This window comes from Homo sapiens, chromosome 8, assembly GCF_000001405.40.
Source record: "Homo sapiens chromosome 8, GRCh38.p14 Primary Assembly".
NCBI lineage: Eukaryota > Metazoa > Chordata > Mammalia > Primates > Hominidae > Homo > Homo sapiens.
In genome coordinates, this window is record NC_000008.11 from 25298597 (window position 1) to 25325998 (window position 27402).

At 42.5% G+C, this 27402-nt stretch overlaps 1 protein-coding gene across 1 annotated transcript in view, besides 1 other annotated feature; it reads left to right on the plus strand.

The window, feature by feature from the left end:
• The window catches only part of DOCK5 (dedicator of cytokinesis 5), a 231023-nt gene that overhangs the window by 113908 nt on the left and 89713 nt on the right, over positions 1-27402 (plus strand). The window contains exons 8-18 of the mRNA NM_024940.8: positions 348-505; positions 1980-2061; positions 3729-3858; positions 5659-5731; positions 10187-10329; positions 11811-11936; positions 18411-18535; positions 20982-21080; positions 22384-22456; positions 25252-25355; positions 26768-26951. Of these exons, the coding sequence (NP_079216.4) occupies positions 348-505; positions 1980-2061; positions 3729-3858; positions 5659-5731; positions 10187-10329; positions 11811-11936; positions 18411-18535; positions 20982-21080; positions 22384-22456; positions 25252-25355; positions 26768-26951 (1297 nt within the window). The remainder of the gene's footprint in view (positions 1-347; positions 506-1979; positions 2062-3728; positions 3859-5658; positions 5732-10186; positions 10330-11810; positions 11937-18410; positions 18536-20981; positions 21081-22383; positions 22457-25251; positions 25356-26767; positions 26952-27402) is intronic.
• Positions 10157-10451: an enhancer, noted in NCBI's record as "tiled region #10341; HepG2 Activating DNase matched - State 5:Enh". NCBI's record gives its function as "activates a minimal TATA promoter and a strong SV40 promoter by Sharpr-MPRA in HepG2 cells {active_cell/tissue: HepG2}" and the evidence as "EXISTENCE:reporter gene assay evidence [ECO:0000049][PMID:27701403]".

Below are 27402 nucleotides of genomic sequence, written 5' to 3' on the forward strand. Positions count from 1 at the left end.
TTGATTAATCAACTGATTGATTGAGACAGGGTCTCACTTTGTTGCCCAGGCTGGAGTTCAGTGACTCCATCATAACTCACTCACTGCAGCCTCCTCTGTTCCCAGGTAGCTGGGACTACAGGCACAGCTAATTAAAAAAAAATTTTTTTGTAGAGACAGAGGCTTGCTGTGTTGCCCAGGCTGTTCTCAAATTCCTGGGCCTCTAGTAGCACTGGGATTACAGGAATGAGCCACTGTGCCCAGGCTTTGTCTGCCATTTGCAGGCTTATTTATTTATTTATTTATTTTTGCCAACATTTCCCATTTGCCAAAATCAAGATGTTTTTCTCTGTTCCCTCTTTGTTCAGTCAATCCTGCAGAACCTCGATTTGCGGGGCCAGTCCATCTTCAGTACCATCCACACCTATGGCCTCTATGTGAACTTCAAGAACTTTGTCTGCAACATCGGGGAAGATGCAGAGTTGTTTATGGCCCTCTACGACCCAGACCAGTCCACTTTTATCAGGTAGCAGAGACCCACATCCCCTGCTGCTGACCTAACAAAGATACCCAGCCTTCCCCTGACCCCTACCCGGGCAGCTCTTTGCCAGATTTGAGAAGAGAAAATAGGGAAGCATGGAAGATTTCTAAGCAGTAGAATGTAAAATCATATGGTCTATGAAGCCTTCATATGTCACTACTAGAACAATGAGGCCAGTTTGTATACTCTCTGGGATTTAGAGATCACATAAAACTCATTAGGGCTTGGAGATGGGAACAAAGAATTCAAAACAGTGTGTGGGAGGGTGAGAAAGGGATGAATAGGCAGAGCACAGAGGATTTTTAGAGCAACGGCAGTATTCTGTATGATGCTATAGTGGTGGATGCATGTCATTATGAATTTGTCTAAATGCACAGGACGTTCGATGCCAGGAGGGAACCCTTATGTAAACTGTGGGCTTTGGGTACATGATGTGTCAATGTAGCTTCATCAGTTTTAACTAATGTTACTACTATGGTCGGGGGAATGTTGGTAGCAAAGGAGGTTGTGTCTGAGGGGAGAGAATATGTTATGGGACTCTATTTTCAGCTCAACTTTGCTGCAAAGCCAAAACTGCTCTAAGAAAATAATGTCTATTAAAAAACATTTTTTTTAAGACTCTAAGGAGTGTGATGGGCATTGTTCAGCCCTACAGTGGTACTACTGTTTAGCAGCTAAGAAAATGGAGAATTTATTTTTGAGAAGATAGTTAAAAGTAATTGCTGACAATTTGTTTCTTTAAAAAAAATTTTTTAATGTCAATGTGGATTACAGGGGATAGATTTGGAATGACTGTTATAAAATTAAATTCTTTTTTTATCTTTTATTTATTGTTTATTTTTTGAGACAGAGTTTAGCTCTTGTCGTACAGGCCCGCATCCTGGGTCCAAGCGATTCTCCTGCCTCAGCCTCCCAAGTAGCTGGGATTACAGGCACCTGCCACCATGCCCAACCAATTTTTGTATTTTTAGTAGAGATGGAGTTTTACCATGTTGGCCAGCCTGGTCTTGAACTCCTGACCTCAGGCGATCCGCCCGCCTTGACCTCCCAAAGTGCTGGGATTACAGGCGTGAGCCACTGCGCCCTGCCTAAAATTAAATTATTAATTTAGCAAAGCTGAAACTTTTATTCAAAGATTTTGAGATGGAAGGACAACCCAGACCGTAGCATCCCATAAGCTCTACCATGTCTGTGCCCACCAGGAGCAGTGGGTTTCCTGCATCTGTGTGGGGCATGTCTTGCGGAGCCACAGCAGGGACGCTTCTCTAATGCCAGGACACCCAGCAGTGGCCATCTGTGTGGTCCCAGTTCCCAACTCAGCTGTTTTCACACCGGCCTGTTGAATTTCACTGAGCATTTCTGGCCTTTCCTCCTTCCCTTGTAAGTCTATACTGAGGGTAGCCTCATCTCCAACCCCAGTTAGCCTCTCATTAAGAGCAATTTTTTTTTCCTTTGCCAGTGAGAACTATCTAATTCGTTGGGGCAGTAACGGGATGCCCAAGGAAATAGAGAAGCTCAATAACCTCCAAGCAGTGTTTACAGTAAGTCCTCCCTTCTGTTTAATCATTCTCTTTGTTTGTGATATGAGCATATTCACATAATGAATATGTGGAAAACATACAAAATGAAAAGATGAAAGGAAAAATCATCAATCTGCCTAGCAGGAATAACCCACCCATTTATTCAACATGTACTTCAATGCCAGGCACTGATTTAGACACTTGAGATACATCCGTGAAAAATCGGGGAAAAAAAAGCAGCTTTTGTCCTGATTGGTAAGACACATAATAAACAATAATCAATCCAGGCACAGGGGCTCACGCCTGTAATCCCAGGACTTTGGGAGGCCAAGGTGGGAGGATCACTTGAGCTCAGGAGTTCGAGACCAGTCTGTGCAACATGGTAAAACCCTGTCTCTACTAAAGAATTTAAAAAAGGAAAAATGACCTTAAAGTACAAGAGGAGTGATGCTGGCAATTCGGATATGCCAAAGAGAAGCGTGCTCCCTTTAAGTGAAAAGGTAAAACTTTATAAATACTTATGTATAGGAAAAAACAGCACATATAGAGTTCGGTACTGTCTTTGGTTTCAGGTATCCACCAGGGGTCTCAGAGCATATTCATCACAGACAAGGGGGGGCTACTCTATCAATGTGCCACAATATATGTAACTAGTCACCTGGAGTCTTTATTTTTCCATTAACAGAAGCCTTGCAGACCTAGAGTAGAAATGCAGGGTGGACGTTATCATTGATGTATATCTTGGAGACCTGAGTTAACTAAATTACAGGGGCTGGATTTGGAATGATTATGTTAAAAGTGATTCTTGCTTCAGTAAAGAGAGCTTGGGCAGCTGTTTCATATAACCAATTTGAGATGTGATTAGTTTTTTTTCTGAAGTCGAACTGAATGAGAGATATCAGCTCATTCCTGGGTTTACTCACCCATCCTTAAGAAAACAAATAATGGCTGGGCGCGGTGGCTCATGTCTGTAATCCCAGCACTTTGGGAGGCCAAGGAGGCTGGATCCCTTGAGCCTAGACGTTCAAGGCCAAGGCCAGCCTGGATAACATAGGGAGACCTTGTCAAAAAAAAAAAAAATACAAACAAGTGTAGAACCCTAGCTGCAAGAGAAATAGGTATTTCATTGACACATCTGTCATGATTCAGTATACACTGATAAGCTCTCAATAGAGACCTCTCATAAATCAGGTGAATAGTCCCATAAAGCAGTGCCTGTCTCATAGTTGCCTCATGGGCTTGTTTTGAAGAGGAAATGAAATGTCACAGACTTGTGTGGATACCCAATAAATGTCAGTGTTACACAAGTTTTTACTTCATTTGATGTTGAAATGCATCCTGTGCTGAGATACGTCCAAAGATATACAATCGCAATGATGAGGGCCCTGATTTTTCAATACCCTGCTTAAGCTGATGAACTGGAGACTTCCAACGGGCTGTGATCTGATTTGTAAATTTGAAGTAGGAACTGGGGAACAAAAAAGCACTTGTTTACAAGCACAAAGTCATGTTTTCTGATGCCATAATAGCTCTTGGATGGAGATGGGGGAGAAGAGAGTCGTTCTAATACTTCAGCATTGAGAAATAAGGTCGGAACAGGATTTTGTTGTAGAGGGTAAAGAAAAAAGAGACACAGGTGACACAGTGGTCCAGCCCCACCTCCTCTCACACTTTCTCTGCCCCTTTAGGACCTTAGCAGCATGGACCTCATCCGGCCCCGCGTCAGCCTTGTGTGCCAGATTGTCCGCGTGGGCCATATGGAGCTGAAGGAAGGCAAGAAGCACACCTGTGGACTCCGAAGACCTTTTGGAGTGGCAGGTACAAGAGAGACCCAGAGACAAATGTGAAATAGTGCAGTGCTGTGGAAAATAGCATGGCGATTTCTCAAAAAATTAAACATGGAACTAGCAAATGATCCAGCTGCCCTGCTTCAAAACAATCAAAAGCAAGGTCTGGAGGAGATATTTGTGCATCCATGTTTGTAGCAGTATTATTCACAATAGGCAAAAGATGGAAGTAACCTAGGTGCCCATCAGTGCATAAATGGACTAAGAAACTGTGGTGTGTACGCACAATGGAATAATACTCGCCTTAAACAGGACGGGAATTTTGACTCATGCTACACACTGCGTGGATGAACCTTGAGGACTTTACACTAAGTAAATAAGTGAGACACAAAAGGACAAATATTGTATGATCCCACCTATATGAGGCACCTAGAGTAGTCAAATTCTCAGAGACAGTATAGAGTGGTGAGTGTCAGGGGCTGGAGAGGGGGAATGGGGAGTTAGTGTTTAATGGGTACGGAGTTTCCATTTGGGAAGATGAGAAAGTTCTAGAGATGGAAGGTGATGATGGTTGCACAACAATGTGAATACACGTAATGCCACTGAACGGAATACTTTAAAATGGGCAAGATGGTACATTTTATGTTATGTGTGTTTTACCACAATTTTGAAAATAGAGGAAGAGAAGGAGGAAAGGAGGAAGAAAGGTGGAAGAAGGCACAGAGATAGTAAGAGATGGATCACGTTGTCATTGTCAGTATCAGACACGCAGCATTTACTGCCTGGCACTGCCCGTTTTCTTTGCATGGGTTCTGTGTCCTCACCTGGCCCACGCTCCTTTCTTTCCCCCTTAGTGCCCAACACTGTGTCTTATACACAATAGAACCTAAGTTGTGACTATTGGAATCCTCCCTGTCTGGGTCTGCGTATTGATTTTAGTGGAATAAAATACTCGCTGGGAAGTGGTTTGCCGGTCTAGGAAATTTACTCTTCGAAGACAATGTTGTGTTTGTTTCTAAATGCTTTCAGAGATCCTCCTTGGCTTACATCAAACCCCAGAACCTGCTTAAACGCCCAGCATCTTCCTCTGTAGTTTGTTCAATTGAGGAAATACATTTTGGGCCTTACATTGACATTTTGGTTGCTCATAGATTGAAAGCGATCAAGGAAATGTTATAATTCTGCTCCTGGACCTTTGGTTCCATACTTACTAAAAAGTAACCTGATGTTAAATTTCTCAAGAATTTAGCAACTCGGGCGGGGCACGATGGCTCATCCCTGTAATCCCAGCACTTTGGGAGGCCGAGGCAGGCAGATCATCTGAGGTCAGGAGTTCAAGACCAGCCTGGCCAACATGGTGAAACTCTGTCTATACTAAAAAAATACAAAAGTTAGCCAAGCGTGGTGGCATGTGCTGTAGTAGTCCCAGCTACTTGGGAGGCTGAGGCAGGAGAATTGCTTGAACAGGGGAGGTGGAGGTTGCAATGAGCCAAGATTGTGCCACTGCACTCCAACCTGGGCAAAGGAGCAAGACTGTCTTTTAATAAAAAGCAAAAGAATTTAGCAACTCGATCTTGTAGAGTTTTTAAAGTGGGTAGTCTGCAAAATTGATCCAGTAAAACCCAGACCCCTTCCTTAGCACCTCATGAGTCACTTTTTTGCTGGGCTAGGTACACTGGGAATCACCATTGGCAAAGAAATTTTAAAAAAGTCCCTGCTTAGTACCTTTCTTCCTGCAGTGTTTGATGTTTGCTGATACTGTCCTTTTCCATAGTAACTTACTGAGGCATGAAGCAATTAGTTTCTTTAATGAAGTTTATCTTTTTCCTAGTGATGGATATTACTGATATCATACATGGGAAGGTGGATGATGAAGAAAAGCAGCATTTTATTCCCTTTCAGCAGTAAGTACTTTGGCATGTGTCCCAGGTGACTTGAGACCTGGATTAGCCATTCAATTGTCTTTTAACACAGAAACAGGTGTTAGAAACCATTTTCTCAGAGAAGGAAAGATTCTAAGCTGCAAGATTGTCAGATAGGAGCTGAACAGAAGACTTTATTCAAAGTCCTTGATGTTGGACTCCCATTGAAGAGGGTAAACTGAACTTTCCTGATTCTATAGAAAGCATCAAAGGAATATAAAAGGGCACATATCTGTCTGCTCTGGAATGCAGAGAGGGTGCCGTCCTTGTGTCAGCAATGCCAAAATATATGTGCAGTCTATTGCATGAAACAGGCATCATGGATGACACGGAATCACGTGGGCTAGCATAGGGCTTCTCAGACTGCATCATGCATATGAATCAGGGGAACTTGTTAGGCTGCAGGGGAGTTCTGCCTCTGACAAGCTCCCAGGTGATGCTGATGTAGCTGGTCTGAGGGCCACACTGTCTGTAGCGAGGGTTTAGGAGATGAGAGAGTGAAGGGCTGACCCACCCATGGGCCAGTGTTCCTGCATGTTGGGGGAAAGCCAGCCTGGGAGCATGTGAAAGGATCCTTGCAGAGCTTTACTGAGGCCCTCCATATTGAGCTGCAGGAGCTGGAGCCATGGGTAGGCCATTGAGGAGCTGTTGGGAGCAGATTCAAGCCGTGTCACTCTGAAGAAGTGCAGGTGTGAACGTCATGACCTGCTCCAGCACCTGCACAGGCAGTGGAGGCCTAGTGGAGGCCAAGAGCATTGCCGGGACCAAGTCCCACCAGGGGCCATCGTGCCAGTCAGAGGGCATCATCTCAGCTCACTTGCAGCTGCCACTGCAGACAAGTAGAACAAACTGAGAATTCCACAAACCAGCCAGAGTCATATATTTGAGTTAATATATCACTTTTTACAAATGATATCACAAATTAGTGGAGAAAGATACATTATGCAAAAAAAAAAAAAAAAGGTTTTTGGAGAAAGTTAGCTAGCCATTTAAGATCCCGAAGTTAGATTCCAGTCTCACAACTTATGCCAGTGTAAATTTTAGATGATTAAACATACAACTGTAAGAGCTAGAATCTTAAAATATTAACGGGAAAATAGAAGTTTTATGTGGTAGTCATGGGAGGGAGGCCGTTTTAAAGATTCAGCCAAAAAAAGAAAAATTGATAGGTTTAACCACCCAAAAACTGTAAAGAACTTAATACATAGAAAAAAATCGATACAGTCTTTGCACTGTGTTTGAGAAAGGATGAATATTTGTAATATATAAAGAATTAATAGAAATTAATAAGGACATGAAGGGAATACACACACATACAGAAATGGTGTTGTACATTTATTGAGGATGAGTGAAATGCAAATCGAAACATCAAGGTTTATTTTTTATCTTGACCACACTTTAGTGTTTGGGTAGATATAAGGAGACATACATTACTTATAGAGAATATGAATTGTTACAATGCATTAGAAGTCTTAAAATTTAGATATTTCAAAAAATGTACTCCATGATTAACAGTGATTATTTCTGTTGATGTAACTCTTGGTGATTTTGCTCCTGTTTTTGTTTTCCTGTTGTCTGTTTTTTATACAAAAAATATGTATTATATGTAATATATAAAATATAACAATTTTAATCTTTCAATGTTAAGTCCACACCTTCGGACCAGTTTCTAAACATAATAGTGCAAATAGCCCATGCTAAGTAGTACTTGTCTCTTTTATCCAGAGGCTGCTATGAATTATTTTTTTAAAATATGGCCATTGCACTCCATCCTGGGTGACAGAGCCATACGCTGTCTCAGATAAAATAAAATATAAGGTAAAAATAGATAAAATAAAATAGTTAAAAAATAAAATGCACTTACCTTGTATGCTACCACCTATATATTGACCTTCCAAGACGAGACAAATATTTTATGTAGCACAGTGCTAAAGTTAATTATGTGATAACTTTCATCTCCATGAATGCTGCTCTTGTTTTGTGCATAATATAAAACACTGCATGCACATACCTATATAAATATGTATTGTATAATATATAAATATGTTTAAGTATATTTAATAAACATGTTGAATTTAGGTCCGGGCGCATAGGCTTACGCCTGTAATCCCAGCACTTTGGGAGGCCAAGGCGGGCAGATCACAAGGTCAGGAGATCGAGACCACGGTGAAACCCTGTCTCTACTAAAAATACAAAAAATTATCTGGGCACAGTGGCGGGCGCCTGTAGTCCCAGCTACTCGGGAGGCTGAGGCAGGAGAATGGCATGAACCTGGAAGGTGGAGCTTGCAGTGAGCCAAGATCACGCCACTGCACTCCAGCCTCGGCGACAGAGCGAGACTCCGTCTGAAAAAAAAATAAATAAATAAAATAAAATAAATAAATAAATATGTTGAATGTAATACAATGTTAATTTGTTAATTACATTTATAAATATGCTAAATAAAATACAATCATGCATCACTTAATGGCAGTGATACGTTCTGAGAAACATGTCACTAGGCTCTCTTGTCATTGTGTAGACAACATAGAGTGTACTTACACAAACCCGGAATATATAGACTACTACACACCTACGCTGTATGGTATAGCCTATTGCTCCTAGACTGTAAACCTGTCCAGCAAGCTACTGTACTGAATACTGCAGGCAGTTGTAACACAGTGCTATTTGTGTCTTTAAACATATTTAAACATAGAAAAGGTAATGAGTTGGGCTGAGATGTTAAAACAGCTATAATATCACTAGGCAATAGAAATGTTTCAGCTCCATTAATAATCTTTTTTTTTTTTTTGAGACGGAGATTTGCTCTTGTTGCCCAGGCTGGAATGCAGTGGCGTGATCTCCGCTCACTGCAACCTCACCTCCTGGGTTCAAGCAATTCTCCTGCCTCAGCCTCCTGAGTAGCTGAGATTACAGGTGCATGCCATTACACCCAGCTAATTTTTCTATTTTTAGTAGAGACGGGGTTTCACCATGTTGGTCAGGCTTGTGTCAAACTCCTGACCTCAGGTGATCCACCTGCCTCGGCCTCCCAAAGTGCTGGGATTACAGGTGTGAGCCATCATGCCTGGCCAGCTCCGTTATAATCTTATGGGACCATGGTCATCTAGGCAGTCTGTCATTGACAGAAACATTGTTAGGAATATGACTGTATATTGAATAAATATAAATGTACCATATATATTATAGTACTATGAATGTGTTATATTTGTATTTAAGATTATATGTACATAATAGGAGTGACCTTCATGGATATGAAAGGTGTCTGAAACAGCCATCTGTATATTTGCTGGTGGTGATGTGCCTCCTGCTTAATTTCTGAACCAGCTTTCCTCCAGCAACCATATCACAGTACTTAGTCCTGAGATTGTCCCCACTGTATAATCCGTGCCTTGAGTCCCTGACGAACCCTGCCTTAATTTCATTACTGCTCACTGTGCAGCCAACAGCCGCAGTGGAGTATTCATGATGCAGACTGCAGCCTCTGGCATTGAATGCCTAAGATTTATGGCAAGCGCTACTATAATCTACTTCAAAAACTTTACAGTGTTTTCCAGTAGGAGAGTGTTGTATGTATATTCTGCAAGTCCATTTAGAGAGAATCATTTGTAAAAAACAGGAACTCAAGACTATAGCAATCCCATTTGCCAGTCACATATTGCAGTGTGTTTTATTGTCAGGGTACAGGGAACCCTGCAGAGAAAACTGGCCTACATGCAGTGGACAGAGGAGACAGGAGACTATTGTACTGCACCAGGCCGATGTGCAGTTGCTTATAGTGCTTCTGCCTTCAGTAGAATGGAGGCTGTATTTGGTTCTTTGATCGCCCTTTACAAGCCGCAGCCTGATAAGGTCACTCAAGTGGAGCTTGTTTGGCAGCACCTATGCCAAGATCTAGCTTGTCATCACATGGAAATCTGAGAACATCTACCAGACACCAGGCATATACACTGTGCTTATATATAGGGGGTTGACACTAGACAGGAGCCTTAACAGGCATGCGATCCCAGCCCATCTCTTACAGATGGAGAAACTGAGGCCCAAAGGGAGCCTCTTGCAGAGCTCACTATCAAGCAGAAGTAGACCTGGGGGCTCCTGCCCCTTCCGTGGGTGCTCTGTCTTCAATTCTATTGCAGCAGCCTCTTCTGCCTCTGAAAGAGCATGGAGTGTTGCCTCTGATTTTAGTTGCTAACCGTTGGTCACCAGTTTTGTGTACTCTTGGGTTTTTTTCCTCCCTCTTTGCCTCAAGTCATTTCCAAGGTGAATTTAGTATTTAAGATGACACAAAATGGAAAAATAAAGGAAAGATAGAAAGATAGGGGTACTTAGTGTTGATATCTCCAAATTATTCCTATATGACTCACCATTATCTGAGGTTGTGCTGCAGAGACTTCCTTTCTCCCCCTCCCACCTTACCTCTTATTTCTCTTTCCCAAGAATTGCGATGGAAACCTACATCCGCCAGAGGCAGCTCATCATGTCGCCTTTGATAACATCACACGTGATTGGGGAGAATGAGCCACTCACTTCAGTCTTGAATAAAGTGATTGCAGCAAAGGAAGTGAATCACAAAGGGCAAGGTACAGTCCAGTGCCAGAGCTGGGAGGGACTCTGCTGAGGGTGGGGGACATTCACAGCTGGGTCCTTGGACTCCTGCCCTTTATTATCTTTCTCTGATACAAAACAGCCTCTGCTGGGGACCATCCCCCTCAGCTTCCAACCACAGGCTTTTAATACTGAACTGCATTGAGATGCACCCAGCGGTGATTTGATCACAGTTGTGTTTTGTAAATTCTTTGGAACAAATTTTTATCCCATGAGTCTTTACTCTTTATTCATTTATTTATTTATTTATTTTTGAGACTGTCTCATGTTGTCACCCAGGCTGGAGTGCAATTGCATGGTCTTGGCTCACTGTAGCCTCCACTTCCTGGGCTCAAGCATCCTCCTACCTCAGCCTTCCAAGTAGCTGGGACTACAGACATGTACCACCATGCTCAGCTAACTTTTAAATTTTTTGTAGAGATGGAGTCTCACTATATTGCCCAGGCTGGTCTCAACTTCTGGCCTTAAGTGATCCTCCCACCTTGGCCTCCCAAATCCCTGGAACTTTAGGTATGAGCCACCGCCCCTGGCCTCCATGTTTTTGCCTACCCTTCATTCCCAATGTCGACCCTAGATAATAATTATGCTCTATTCTGAATAAGTTTATCCCATCACATTTTTTAAAATTGAGAGGAAGGAAACCAAAGTAATACAGATGAATATGTATTAATACAAAATAATGTAAAAATTGTAGTTTTTAGTATCTCCATATCATGTTCTGTTGATAGAGTGTGTTGGTGCACACCTGTAATCCCAGCTACTGGGAAGGCTAAGGCATGAGAATTGCTTGAACTCGGGAGGCAAAAGTTTCAGTGAGCCGAGGTGATGCCACTGCATTCCAGTCTGGGCAACAAAGTGAGACTCTGTCTAAAATAAAAAAAAAAGAAAGAAAGACAGAAAAATGGTTTGTTCTCAGAGGTTTAATAGCTATACACTTCTTTTTTCTTTTAACATTCTGCCTTCTTTTTCTATGTAATTCATTATTGGGAATTTAATGAAAATACAAGATGGGAAATTAAATTTTCTTAAGTAGCAAGAAAATAATCCCAGCATATTCATGTAATTATTGGATTTTTTTCATGATTTGTTATGCCTCTTTTGCCATATATTAAATTGCTATATACTATAGTGTTTCATTGTTTCATGTATATATCTTTTTTACCCCTAGGATCACAGATGGTTGTAGCTTTACTATATATTCTGGTATCTGGTAGGGTCTATCTTTACCCCTTTTTTCCCCCAAAGTTAGCATCTGTTCACATCTCTGTCAAATTCTCAAAGAGGTCCTGTTGTGATTTTAATGGAAGTGTCATTAAAATTATAAGTCAACTGGGGGAGAATTTACATCTTTACAGTAAGGTTGTGACTATACAACTCAAATGTTCTTCTCACCAGTTACGCATGTGTTTTATACATCATACAAAGAACTAAACGTTTATCTTTTATTTCTTTTAAGGCCTTTGGGTATCCTTGAAGCTCTTGCCCGGTGACCTCACCCAGGTTCAGAAGAATTTTTCACACTTGGTTGATAGATCAACAGCAATAGCCCGGAAGATGGGCTTTCCTGAAATCATACTGCCAGGTAAGCACTTTGCATGGCTCACCTGTTTGCTTCCTCCTGTTCAGCGATTATTTCTTATTGGACGGTGGAGGCAACTTGGATCCAGAAGACTTGGTTATTTACATTCATTGGTCCTGAGACACCTGGGACACAAACAGAGACACCTGCAATACTTAAACACTTAGGTGCTTCCTAATTTGTCATTATTACAAATATAAAAACCTCTGCTCTGACTATCCTTACCATGAAGTCTTTTCCACGTTTAAGACTATCTCCCCGAGAAAATTCCTGGAAGTTGGATATACAGTGTGCAAGTACAGTACACTGATATACGGTGTGCAAGCCCAAGATAATGCTTTTAAACATAACTCAAATTTTCTTACTCTCTCTTTTACGCAGACTCTCTCAAATAGCACAGGGTGCTCTGTTCAGGAGACTAATTGGCCTCATTTGTGTGTCCCTTTCTTGTTATGACATCCCCAGCATGTGGGCGCCTTGCTCTCTCCATTCTCTGAAGCTCCAAAAGCGCTCTGGCTCTCCCTGTTCTTGTTGTGACAAGAATGTCAGCATTTTCCTGTTTCATCTTCTTTCTAGTGATCTGCATATGTGTGTGTTCTCTGGAATTTGCTGACTTCGCCCATTTAATTTTAATCTCCATACTAAGAAAAGGGAATTGGTCCCTTGAATTTTATACATATTGCTATAAACTAATTGATATTAATAGAAATTCTAGAAAAACAACCATGGCTTGGCCGAGCAGGGTGGCTCACGCCTGTAAAATCAGCACTTTGGGAGGCTGAGGTGGGCGGATCATGAGGTCAAGAGATCGAGACCATCCTGGCAAAGATGGTGAAACCCCATCTCTACTAAAAATACAAAAAATTAGCTGGGTGTGGTGGCACGTGCCTGTAGTCCCAGCTACTCGGGAGGCTGAGGCAGGAGAATCGCTGAAAACCGGAAGGTGGAGGTTGCAGTGGGCCGAGATCGCACCACTGCACTCCAGCCTGGGCAACAAGAGCAAAACTCTGTCTCAAAAAAAAAAAAAAGAAAAAAGAAAAACAACCATACCATGTTAGAAAAATTCTAGAAAACCAACTTACCTATTGCACAAAAATTCAGGTTATTTTAGGCCAGGCATGGTGGCTCACGTCTGTAATCCCAGAACTTTAGGAGGCTGAGGCAGGCAGATCACATGAGGTCAGGACTTCGAGTCCAGCCTGACCAACGTGGTGAAACCCTGTCTCTATCAAAAATACAAAAATTAGCTGGGCGTGGTGGCTGGTGCCTGTAGTCCCAGCTACTCAGGAGGCTGAGGCAGGAGAATCGCTTGAGCCTGAGAGGCAGAGGTTTCAGTGAGCTATGATCGCACCACTGCAACCCAGCCTGGGCAACAGAGCAAGACTCTGCCTCCAAAAAAAAAAAAAAATTAGGTTATTTTAAAGTAATACAAAATCTTATTTCTCCTTTGAGAAATTAAGGGGCAGTGATAACTTGTTGCTGCCCACATTGTCTACATGTAGTGGGTCTTAAATGAGTATTTGTGGAAGGAATGAATAAAAATGTTATAAAATGGAGATCACTCTTTTTTCCTTTTCTCATAAAAGAAGATAGTTTTTTGCTTATTTTGTCCATTACATAGCTATTTTACCCTGATATACATTCATCAACATTCTGGGAAAATGTTTTGTCTTCTTGTTAAGGAAAAAAAAAATTAGTAGTAATATTCTCTACCTGAAGGTTGTTTTACTACTACAACAAGACACAAATCTGAAAAAATAAAGTAGAGAAGTTTATTCTTTGATCAAGGTGACAGCAGGGTTGGCTTCTCCTGAGGCCTTTGAATAAGGTGAGTTTACCTTTTAAATCTGGCTTGTAAAAGAACATTTAGTTTTGTTTTGTTTTTTAAGTCAATAGGATTGGTTCATAGGATGCCAAGGGCTACATTGGTTTTAAAATTCATCTAGAATACGGCCAGGCCAGATGGCTCACATCGGTAATCCCAGCACTTTGGGAAGCTGAGGTGGGTGGATCACTTGAGGTCAGGAGTTCAAGACCAGCCTGGCCAACATGGTGAAACCCCATCTCTATTCAAAATACAAAAATCAGCTGGGCGAGTTGACGTGTACCTGTAGTCCCAGTTACTCAGGAGGCTGAGGCAGGAGAATTGCTTGAACCCGGGAGGCGGTGGTTGCAGTGAGCTGAGATTGCACCACCGCGCTCCAGCATGGCGACAGAACAAGACTCCGTCTCAAAAAAAAAAAAAAAAAAATTAGCTGGGAGTGGTGGCGCATGCCTGTAATCCCAGCTACTTGAAAGGCTGAAGCGGGAGCATCACTTGAACCTGGAAGGCAGAGTTTGTAGTGAGGTGAGATCATGCCGCTGCACTCCAGCCTGGGCAACAGAGTAAGACTCCATCTCAAAAAAGAGAAAAAAATTCATCTAGAACAATCGTTTCCAGTGCTAGTATGTGGATCAGCTAATCAAGATCTCCTTGAAGATCTCCTTGAAAATACAGATTCCCAGATTTCTAGAGACCGATTCAGAGCTCCCAAGGTGATCTGGTGGTGAGTCAGGTCTGAGAAATTCAGGTCTAGACCCAACTCCCTGGGCTCAGAACTCCTTCCTGTTGTCCCATCACCACGTGAACTCGTTCCAGTTGCCTCCTAAACTCTTCCCTGTACCCCCTTGCCCTCTAGCAAGGAGCTTTGACTCTCGTCTTCAGCATCGCAGGAGTGATTCTGTCCACGCTCTTTCTCTGTTCTCACCTCTGCCAGCCCCACTCCAGCCTCTCAAGAGTAGCTCTCATGAGAGTCACCCATGATCATGGTATCGCTACATCTGATGGGAGTTTTCTAGCCTAGCGATCAACTCTGACCTCTCAGCAGCATCTGACATTGTTGAAATATTTCCTTCCCTTCTCATTGGTGACCCCTCACTTTTCTCTGCTTCTCCATTTCCCTGGGGCTTCTGCTAGAACCCCTTTGCCACCTTCTCATATTCTGCTTCACCTCTAAATGTTGAAGTTCCTTGTTATTTGGTCCTGAGACCCTGTGTGAGTGTGCTTGGGCTGCCATAGCAAAATACCACGGACTGGGTGGCGTCAACAACGTTTATTTTCTCACAACAAAGGACAGGGACTGGAAATTCAACACCAAGGTGACAGCAGGGATGGCTTCTTGTGAGGCCTGTCTCCTTGGCTTGCAGATGGCCATCTTCTCCCTTCGTCTTCACTTGGTTGTCCCTCTGTGCATGTCTGTGTCTTAATCTCTTTGTATGAGGACACCAGTCATATTGGATTAGGGCCCACCTATATGACCTCATTTTACCTTACTTACTCTTTTAAAGGCCCTATCTCCAAATACAGTCATATTCTGCGTTACTAGGGGTTGTGGCTTCAGCATATGAATTTGGGGAGGACACAGTTCTGCCCAGAACAGCCCTCTTTCTGTCTCACCTGTGTTTTCTCCCTAGGGGTATCATCCACTCACTTGGCTTTCATCTGCCTGTCACCTTCAAATCTGTAGCTCCAGGACCAAGACCTCTTTAATGAATTCTAGGACCCTATAGCCAGCTATTTCCTGCCTCAGGACTCCCCTCTTTTTTTTTTTTTTTTTTTTGAGGCAAGGTCTTGCTCTGTAGCGCAGGCTGGAGTATAGTTGTGTGATGATAGCTCACTGTAAGCCTCGATCTCCGAGGCTCAAGCAGTCCTCCCACCTCAGCCTCCCAGGTAGCCAGGACTACAAGCATGAGCCACCACATCTGGCTAATTTAATTTTTTTTTTTTTTTTGTAGAGATCAAGTTTCATTATGTTGCCCAGGCTAATCTTGAACTCCTGGGCTCAAGCAGTCCTCTTGCCTCTGCCTCCCAAAGTGCTGAGATTACAGGCATGAGCCACAACACTCAGCCCCTCCTTGCTTTAATTGGCTAATTCTTACTCAGCATCCCCATTTGGACCTCATAATTCTGTGCATCTAGGCCTGAGGCACCTCTCTTGTGTTTTATCTAAGAAAATAGCACCTCCATCCATTCATCCATCCATCCATCCACCCACCCACCCACCCATCTATCATCCATCCACCCACCCATCCACCTACCCATCCACCTACCCATCCAACCGTCCACCTATCTATCTAACCGTCCACCTATCCAACCTCTATCCATCCATGTATCTATCCATCCATCCATCCATCCATCCACGTACCCAACCTCTATCCACCCATCCATCCCTCCCTCCACCCACCCACCCATCCATCCACCCACCTATCCATCCACTGCACAAGCAAGAAGCCAGAAAGTCACCCTTGATATCTCCTTTTCCTTTATAACTCACATAAATTAGTAGATAAGACCTGTCAGCATTACCTTTGAAAGGACTCTCAAGTCTCTCTCTCCCTTCTCTCCATCTGCATTGTCACTACCCAAATTGGAGCTACGATGACCTCTTCCCTGGACAACTGCCGTAGCTTCCTACCTGGTTTTCATGTTTCTGTTCTTTCTTTGCTCATTTTCTCTTCTCCTTACTGCATCCTGAATGTTCTATTCTGTAAGCACACCTGATCTCATCCCGCTCCTCCCTCGCTGAAAACATCTTACTGACTTTCATTTATGTTGAGGGTAAATATTAAAATTCTTAATTTGCCCACCGGCCTCAGGGGGATCTGACTTATATCTGTCTCTGCAGCCTCATCTCACACCAGACACCCCCTCACTGTGAGGATGTCAGTCAGGTTGTCTCCTACCTCTGGGCCTTTGCACAGGCCACTCTCCCTGACTGTGCTAACAGCTGAAAGGAAAGATTCCCATACCCTGCAGACGAGGTCAGGACCTGGTATTGTGCATTCACAGAGCCTGGCACATTCCTCCATTGCTAATGGTGGGTTTACTTGTGCAGATTATTTGACTGGTGCTTCTCTCTGGCACTAGACTGTAACCTGAGTTGGGGCAAGGCTGGTGAGTGGCTCACCATAGCCACCCAGACACCCAGCACACGCCTGCTGCAGAGTAGGAGCTCAAGCACTTTTTAAAATGAATGTTACCTCCATTACGTGATTATACCATAATTTATTCAACTAATTCCCTGTGCTTGGAAATCGAGACTGTTTCCATGTTTCCACTTTTATAAACACCGCAATGAATATCCTTACAGATAAATTATTGCCCACATTTTTAATACTTTGAGACAAATATTACCAGTGGGATTGCTGTATTAAGACTTTTGACACATTTTCAGTTTCTCCATTGACAAAGAGTGTGTCAAGTAAGATTTCAAACTGTGCTGTGTGAATAAGCCCCTTTTTCTTCATCCTCAGCAAGTGATAAGCAGTATCTTATTTTTTTCCAGTTGAGGAAATGATGAAAACGATCAGTGCTCTAAATATGCACTCCTGTTTTCTTATAGTGTTAAAAGGTTTTGTTTTTTACATTGGGTGGCAGTTTAATATAGTGCAGGTGTTGGAATCATTTTTTCAATACTTTTTTCATCTAGGAGTTTAATATACTTCACATTTATTCCAAGTTTCTTTTATGTACCTCAATAACATTTAATATTTTTCTTCAATATGTGGGCCACACATTTATTAATTAAAATTTTTTTTGCTGGGTAACAAAAAAGAAAAAGAGCAGCAGAAAGCATTCTTTCATTGATAAAATCAAGTAAACTGATTTAAAGAAATAAAAAGTACTCTAGGCTGGGCATGGTGGCTCACACCTGTGATCCCAGCACTTTGGGAGGCTGAGGTGGGCAGATTGCTTGAGTCCAGGAGTTTGAGACCAGTCTGGGCAATGTAGTGAGACCCCTTCTCTACAAAAAATACAAAACATTAGCCAGGTGTGGTGATGTGTGCTTGTAATTCCAGCTACTTGGGAGGCTGAGGTGAGAGAATCACTTGAGCCCAAGAGGCCAATGTTGCAGTGAGCCGAGATTGCACCACTGCACTCCAGCCTGGGCAACAGAGCAAGATCATGTATCAAAAAAAAGAAAAACATACTCTATAGGCTTTCAGAAAGAGTGTCTACCTCATCAGGTTGTTCTGTAGATTAACAAGTTAGTCTATAATCGATTACATTAATACATATAAGACATTTTGACCATTGCCTGGCACAGCATATAATAAGCACTCAATAGACAATTGCCTTCATTATTATCAGATGTATTCAAAATATCACACTCTCCAAGGCACTATTGAAAAACCGTCTGCCACTGTAACCTAACAATATATACTATGTATTTATTATTAGATAGAAATTTTTAATAGAGAAAGAATTACTACTTAATTTTCTGTAAAACTACAGTGCAAAGACATCTTGGTATGCATGGAAAGGTAAAATGTGATAAGCTGAAGACAGCAAACGCATATGAAAGCCTTTTGTCGGATGAGTAGTTCAGTATAAAACCAGACCATTTCGTGTTGTCTTTACCTTTTATGTCGTATGACATTCTGAAACTTAGAATGACTTCTCTCAGCAACACTCACAGCATGCTTATCATGTTGCAGGAGATGTTCGGAATGACATTTATGTCACCCTGATCCACGGTGAGTTTGACAAAGGGAAGAAGAAGACGCCAAAGAATGTGGAGGTGACGATGTCTGTGCACGATGAGGAGGGCAAGCTCTTGGAGGTGCGCGGCATGGCCCAGAAATCCTGCTACCATCGCATCCGTCTTTACAATCACGATAGAATCTTGGCCGTATTTTAATTCTTCTTTGCATCAGGATGGGTTTGATTTTTCCTGAGAAAAGAAATATAAAGCCTGTTAAATTTGTGATTAGCAGTGAGCAGTTTCACTAAGGAAGCTATCTAGACTCTTCTAGACTCTTATTTTTATATTTCTCCTGTGCTAAGAAATAGCTCCAGCCACTAATGATTTTATGTGTAAGCTTCCAATGCAGATGTTATTTATCGTTTTCAACTTAGTTAGCCACTTTCAAGCTTGATCAGTTCCTCTTAGGCTTGAGCTAAGTGGCCTGGGTGCTCGAATAGCATCAGAAAGCATGTTTCCTTCCCTGGGTGAGCAGAACCAAAGGAGATGTGCTCATCAGAGACTGAAACTGGAAGAGCCCTGGGGTAGGCATCCGCTACCACTGCTCTTTAGTTTGTTTGTTTGTTTGTTTTTTTGAGACGGAGTCTTGCTCTGTCGCCCAGGCTGGAGTGCAGTGGCACGATCTCCACTCACTGCAAGCTCCGCCTCCCGGGTGCACCCCATTCTCCAGCCTTAGCCTCCCAAGTAGCTGGGACTACAAGCGCCCACCACCACGCCCGGCTAATTTTTTTGTATTTTTATTAGAGACGGGGTTTCACCATGTTAGCCAGGATGGTCTCGATCTCCTGACCTTGTGATCCACCTACCTTGGCCTCCCAGAGTGCTGGGATTACAGGCGTGAGCCACTGTGCCCAGCCTACTCTTTAGTTTTAATGAACAGGAAACTGTAAGAAACTTTAAAAGGATGAGTTATTGTCTCTGGGAAACACAGGAGTTAGTGGCAGAGCTGGGAGGGTATCTAAGTATCCTGAATTCCAGTCCAGTGTTCCTCCAACTCTGGCAGCTTTTTCTTTTCTTTTCTTTTCTTTCTTTTGTTGCTGTTGTTGTTGTTGTTTGATGGAGTCTTGCACTGTCACCCAGGATGAAGTGCAGTGGCACAATCTCTGCCTGCTGCAACCTCTGCCTCCCAGGTTCAAGCAATTCTCCTGCCTCAGCCTCTGGAGAGCTGAGATTACAGGTGCTCGCCACCATGCTCGACTGATTTTTTTTATATTTTTAGTAGAGACGGGGTTTCACTATGTTAGCCAGGCTGGTCTCGAACTCCTGACCTCATGATCTGCCTGCCTCAGCCTCCCAAAGTGCTGGGATTACAGGCATGAGCCACCATGTGCTGCCTGCTTTGCTTTGCTTTACTTTACTTTCTTCTTTCTTTTCTTTTCTTTTTTTTTCTCTGTCTTTCCGCTCCCTTCCCTTCTCTCCTCTCCACTCCCCTCCCCCACTTTTCCTCTCCTCCCCCACTTCCCCTCCCCTCCCTTCTCCTCCCCTTCCCCCTCCACTTCCCTTCTTCTATTTTCCTTTCTTTTCCATTTTCTTTCCTTCTTTTTTTTTTTTTTTTTTTTTAATTAAGACAAGATCTAATGCAGGTATCTGCCAGCTTTCTGCCCACATAAAGAAGTGAGTCCCAATTCTGACATCAAAGAGGATAGGCAGGAGGTGGTCACAGGAGGCTGCATGGCCTCTGCTGAACTCCACCTCTTCTCGTATGAGCCGTAGTTAACTGCTTTGGTAACCAAGGACCAAGCTCTTGATTGACTTGACTCACTGAGTGTCCTGTTGCATAGTTGTTTGAGGCTACAATGAAATACAATTTCATCACTTGCCATGGATGTTATAATCTATTAAGGAAGCAGATAGCTAGGCAGTTTACTAAGGCAAGTCGTATTCTGCATGAGAGGGAGAAACTGAATGCTATGAGCCACTGTATGAAAGTGCTTTATTTGTGCTGTTGATAAGAGCACATGAGCTCATTTCACGTAGACACCTTCTCCTGGTTGGTCATTTCGTTTGATAGTGCCCCACCAAGGCCTGGTTCTACTAAGCTCAGTGGTTCATGACCAGGAAAAGATGCAGCCCTGAGTTGAGTGAATATGCTGTGCCAATACCCTAAGTCCCTAAAACAGAATGTAGACAGGAAAAGAGAAATGCTTTTCTGCAAATAGCGGCGCGTCTGCAGTTGTCACCTAACTTCTCGTCATCGTCATGTTCCCTGAGAGAGAAGAGGAAAGAATCAGAGGAGAATGCATGCCTGGGGAGGGAAGAGAAAATACAAGTTACAGGAAAGAAGAATATTTAGGCGGTGCTGGGTTCCTTAGCTGCTACCAAATTGATATTATAGACCCTTGAATAAAGTGGTGGAAATTCAGTCTTCTCTGTTCTTCATCCCCCAAACTTAATCAGCCGATCAGTGCCAGTGTAGGGCATGTGTGGACGTGTTTGGGGGTGAGGGGCTTGTGCATGGTATATGGGGTCCTCTTACTTTTCTAAACAAAATTATTCCCTTCTAATTTTTTCCTTCCATCTGAAGAAAGCAATTCACCCTGGTGCTGGATATGAAGGCATTTCAGAATACAAATCAGTAGTCTATTACCAAGTCAAGCAGCCCTGTTGGTATGAGACTGTCAAGGTGAGAATGAGTCATTTGTAACCCCTGTTATCTGTTAAACCTCAGTTAGATTCCTATCTTCTGTTTACCCCCAAATTATTCCTACTTTATTTTGAAATTTTTAGATAAGTTGCCTATGGTGTGCAGTAAGAAATGAATCAGTAATTATAATTCTGTATTAAGAGCATTTATCATTAAGAAACTCAGTGATGTATGAGAATTTGAATAGCAAAGCTTGTGGTTGACGTGATGGATATAATAGACTGCCAAGATGGTACAAAACCAAACAGAAATTTTCACACTGTGCAAACAGTTTCCTAACATTTTTTTATTTTTGGCCTCTCACCAAGTGTTCTGGGCCTCTTTTCAACTTCAATATGTGTATTACACATTCCAAAGTGCTTTTCAGATCAGTCATCTCCTTTGAGCCCCACAAGGGCTCTGCAACTAGAACAAGCAGGTGTTGTAACGCCATCTTTCATATTAGGTACTGAAGTTCAAAGTTCAGTGACTTCCCAGGATCCTAGAGCTGACTGGTATCAGGGCCCAAACTAGAGTCCACTTCTTCTGAATCCCGGGCTCCATCAGCTCTTTCTGGTTGTCGAAGTCACACGAGTTCTTCATAGAAAAAAAAATTTTTTAATTGCATTCATATATCTCAATTTAGAATTAACCATTTTCAACAGTTTTCTATAGTTCATATGTTTTGAATGATGCTGTTGATACAAATTTATATTGTGCTTTTTAAAACTACTTATCTCAATGCATATAAATTCTTCAGATATGTATTTTAGATACTTGCATAAGGTTCCAAAGTATAATCATGCCATGATTTGACTGCACACCACAAATCTCTGCTCGTTTGAGTGCCCTAAGGCTCTGTTTCTTCTCTCCCCTGTAGATAGGTAAGCAGCAGAAAACTGCTTTATGAGCCCTAATTATTACCTTTCCCCCTCTTTATGGAATAATCAGGTCTTATAGATCCAATTATTACTATATTTATACACATCTTGCAGTCTGAAAGATCCTGTGTGGACCTCAAAATACCAGTATTTCCCCTCTGAAGTATTACTGTTTCTTACTTCAGAAAATGCTAGAAATTCACAGTATCCCTATGCTCAGAATCTATGATAAACAGCAAGATGATCTGAGATTCTTTTGATTTGAAAATAGCTCAGTCTCCTTTGAATGAAACCTATACCAAATCTCACTCTCTAGTAATTTGTGCTGTGGAAAGTATAAAATTGAGCCTAATTCCATGAAATAAACCATGCTTGCAAAGTACTGTGTGTCTGTAAACTATTAATTTCTTACTATGACACAGGTATCCATTGCTATAGAAGAAGTCACACGCTGTCATATAAGATTTACCTTCCGACACAGGTCATCTCAGGAAAGTAAGTATTAAGACGTCTATGACATATTTCCACTTAAAAAAAATTTGCTCTGGCTTGACAGCCATCTTGTGAAGCTGGAGAACAAGATATTTGGAAACTAGAGACTTGGCAGCTGTATTTTGTAACTCACTGGTGCTAAGGAAATCAGCATAATGAATTTTGCTGGGCGTGCAAGGTCTGTGTTGTCACTCTATATTAGGATTTCCTCAAAATGTGTTTTGTGAACACTAATATTCTCAAAGACAGCAGTCCTCAATCTTTGGCACCAGAGACTGGTTTTGTGAAAGCCAGTTTTTCCAAGGACCAGGGGTGGGGTGATGGTTTCAGGGTAATTCAAGCACATTACATTTATTGTTTTCTTTATTCTTATTACATTGTAATATATAATGAAATAATTATACAACTCACCATAATGTAGAATCAGTGGGAGCCCTGAGCTTGTTTTCCTGCAACGAGACAGTTCAGATCATCAGGCATTAGATTTCCACAAGGAATGTGCAACCTAGATCCCTTGCATGCACAGGTCACAATAGGGTTCGGCTCCTGTGAGAATCTAACGCTGCTGCTGATCCAACAGGAGGCGGAGCTCAGGTGATAATGCGAGCAGTGGGGAGCAGCTGTGAAGACAGATGAAGCTTTGCTTGCTCCTCCGCCGCTTACCTCCTGCTGTGTAGCCCAGTTCCTAACAGGCCACAGACTGGTATGGGTTTATGGCTTGGGGTTTGAGGTCCCCTGCTCTAAGATGCTACTAGATGCTCTATAACAAAAAGTGTTGTATTTCACAATCAAATAGGTATAGGAAAGGCTATATATACATTGTATCTCCCTCCTAGACGTTCACAATGCGTGTTGCCATGTTGCAGTAGCAAGAAAACTCTTTATTCACTTGTCTCCCCAAATTATCATTTTTCTCATGAAAAAACTCTTTCAAGTCTTAGGTCACAGTTCTTGAAATGGCTACACTAAAGTGTAAGCAGAGAAGAAAATTGATTGTTTTCAGATTGATCACAAAATTTCTGGAATCGTCTTATTCTCATTTCGCACTGCATAAAAATGTAACCCCTCCTTCCAAAAATGCATGTGTTGAACACCATCTACACAACAGGCTGCAGGCGAGGCCCTGGTCTATGACAGCCAGCTGGACACTCCCACGCAGAGTCTTTGTGGTCTGGTTAGGAAGATGAACGAAAAAGTGGGTGGTTATGTACGGAATAGTATGATATGTACATTACAAGGGGCAAAGACTTGTAATGGAAGCGTAGCACAGCACCTTACCCAGTCTGGGGGATTTATGCATATGACCTCCTACATCTTAGCTGAGACTTGAAGGTGAGTAGAAATTAGCCCAGTGAAGGGTGATGGGAGAAGTGTGTTTGGAGAACCAAATGAACTCAGTATGGCTAAAGCAGGACCAGTGGAGCAATAATAGTATCAGGTTGAATCGTGTGAAATTGGCATTTTTTAGGTCTAAATGGCCAAATATCAGCCATTTCATATGGTTCTGCATAATAACTAACAATTGTCAATTAACAATTAACAAAGGTCAAGTTTGTATGAAGTATTATGTGAAGCTATATTTGTACATGGTCCTGTTTAGTATCCACAATAATATAACAAGGTACATTCTACTTTTATCTACATTTATACACAAAGAAACTAAGGCATGGAGAGGTTAGGCACTTGCCTGTGGTCACAAGGCTAGCATATGACCAGGCTGGGTTAGCACCCAGACAATCTGATTCTAGCTGGGCTGGAGCCGGATCATGAAGGCTGAAGATGTTTTTCAGCCATGTTAAGGAGGTGCAATTCAAGGGTGGTTTCTGGTTTTGAGGTTTTGGGAGGGGTTGGTCTATGTTCATAACAGCTTCACCCATAGTACTCCAACACTAGAATAGCCTAAATCCCCATCAATAGGAGAATGGATAAACAAATTGAGGTATGATCATACAATGGATGACTACTCCACCACTGTGGGGACCCAAGGGGCACAGCAGACCACAGAGCCGTGCCTATGATAAAAACAGGCCACAGGTTACCCTACTCAGAGCCACTGAAGCAGGGGACCCGGTGAGTTCAGAGACTGGCCCCGAAGACCAAGAGAGAGGAGCTCTGCCTCCTCATGAAGCTGCACCCTCCTCCCAGCTGCCACAGGGCATGCAGATCTTCTTTCCTGGCACTGGAGCTGGTATTCTGGGGAGGAAGGGTAAAGAAACTTTGGGCAGCACCATAAACCCTAGAGTAGAATAAATATCTTGCAGAGCCTGTTTTAGAGCAACATAAATTGAGATCTCTCATTCAAGTGTTTTGAAGCAGCGTGGTTGACATGATTGGATTGGACTTTGGAAACCTCATTCCAACATAGAGAATGTGTTTGGTGGGAGAGCCTAGAGACAGAGAGATGCGCTGGGAAGGTCTTGTAGAAATAAAGAGAAGAGGTGAGTGTGGCCTGAAGTCAGGAAGGACAGCAAGATGGAGAGAGAAGAGACAGGCTCCAGAGCTGTTTAGGACATGGAGTTGACGTGGGGTGGAGTTGGTGTCAACACCCACATTTCTGATTTGGATGACTGGGCAGATGCTAGTCTCATTTATTAGGGGATGTAGGAAGAGGAGAGCATACTTGGGGGTGCCAGGCAGTTTCAGTGGCACATGGTACGTGGCTTATTGCAGTTTGCTCAGTTGTGCTTATTAGAATATGGTTGAACGCTGCACCCCCGAGCAAAATGTGAAATCGTGTCATAGCCATCGCCTCCTGGTGTCTCTCTGCACTGCTCAGACATGTCTTTCTGCCTTTTCAGCCAGAGATAAATCGGAGCGAGCATTTGGGGTGGCCTTCGTGAAGCTGATGAACCCGGATGGCACCACTCTGCAGGATGGGAGGCACGATCTGGTGGTTTATAAGGTGGTGCTAACAGAAAATGGCTGAGAAAAATACTCCCTTTCAAATGAGCATTTAAGACTCCTTTCATATTTATTTGTACAAACATCAGAAACCTTTCTAGAGCTTTCTGTACTTGCCCATTAACATCTAGAAACCCAGAGGGCTCTGGGCCCTCCAGCTTTGTGGTTTCCCACCTGCTTTCTGGAGAGAGTGAGTTGCATTATTACTGAGTCTTCTAAGGAGGCTCTCACCTCCTTAGACCTCTCACGGGAGAGGTCCTGTGAATGGTGTTCCCTAGCAGTGAATGGTAAGGGGTCGGCCTCTCATGATCTGCTCTTTTCATCATCCTGCATGGCACATGGACAGGTGCACTGTTGGGCTTCAGTAGTGTGTGGTGGATATGGTTTTCCCATCACCATGAGCCACATACTATTTCTGTGCTCTGGGGGCCTTATTTCCTTCCCTGAAAGTTTTGTCTTTGTTCTTGCCTTCCAACTGATGCTGAGCTCCCACTTCTACTGAGATTTTAGAGTATAAAGTAGATGCTGGAAGATCTCATTTAGCCAACAATATCTGGGGATTTCCCCACAGTTGGCTGCTCTTTTGAGATGCATCTACCTGAGGAATATTTTTCTTAACATCTTAGTTTATGAATCATTTTGGAAGGGATGGCAAGCTAATTCTTCTTCCATCAACCCAATAAAGTATAATTGTCCCCATTTTTTAATTACACTTCAAGTTTTAGGGTACATGTGCACAACGTGCAGGTTTGTTACAGATGTATACATGTGCCATGTTGGTGTGCTGCACCCATTAACTTGCCATTTAACATTAGGTATATCTCCTAATGCTATCCCTCCCCCCTCCCCGCCCCCGCCACAACAGGCCCTGGTGTGTGATGTTCCCCTTCCTGTGTCCATGTGTTCTCATTGTTCAATTCCCACCTATGAGTGAGAACATGCGGTGTTTGGTTTTTTGTCCTTGTGATAGTTTGCTGAGAATGATGGTTTCCAGCTTCATCCATGTCCCTACAAAGGACATGAACTCATCCTTTTTTATGGCTGCATAGTATTCCATGGTGTATATGTGCCATATTTTCTTAATCCAGTCTATCATTGTTGGAATTGTCCCCATTTAGAGACTGAAGAAAATGAAATTTAACCTTATTCTGAAATATGTGTATTTACTCTAACAGAGACTAGGATATTCTGGTTTCTAGTTCACAACTTATTCTGTTTCCATTCAATCATGAAATTATTTCTGGGCTCAATGTTTACAGAAAGATATCAGAGTATCTCAGAGGTGGAAGGGATCTTCAGGATAAATTGATAAGTCCACGCTTCTCATGCTGAAAATGCATGATAGAAATTGTTTTTATTTGCATATAAGAGATTTTGGCCATCATTTGGTGTTCCTAACATGCTTCCTTTTAGGGTGACAACAAAAAAATGGAAGATGCTAAATTCTACCTGACCCTGCCTGGAACCAAGATGGAGATGGAAGAAAAAGAGCTTCAAGCATCCAAAAACCTGGTCACCTTCACCCCAAGCAAGGATAGCACTAAAGACAGCTTTCAGATTGCCACCCTCATCTGCTCCACAAAGCTCACCCAGAATGGTAGGAGTGGTGAATACACTGACACAAATAAGCTTCTTGCTCAGCCTTTCTGGGCTCCTTGGTTAGGCTCACAGGGCTGGACTATATGGGGCTGGGTCTTATTAGGTAGGATGTTGGCCAATTGGATTCTGCTCTCTGCTTTTCAAGTGGTATTCTGGGTAGTGCTGATCACATTGCACAGCCTCTTCTGAAGTTTCATCGTCCACTTTAGAGCAGGATGAAAAACATTTTAGTATTTAATATCTTAAAACCTATAAATGCATTTATTAACAGCAACTGTAAAATTCAAAAGCCGTATGTTCCCTGATAGTGCATTCTGTGTAGTATGTGCAGGAAGAGATGTTGGTAGTAAGAGGAGGAGCTTGGCAAAGAAATATAATCAGTTTCCTGTCCAAACAGGTATGGCAGGGCTTCCTGTTTGAGTTCTGTCCTTCCCTCCTATATTCTCTTC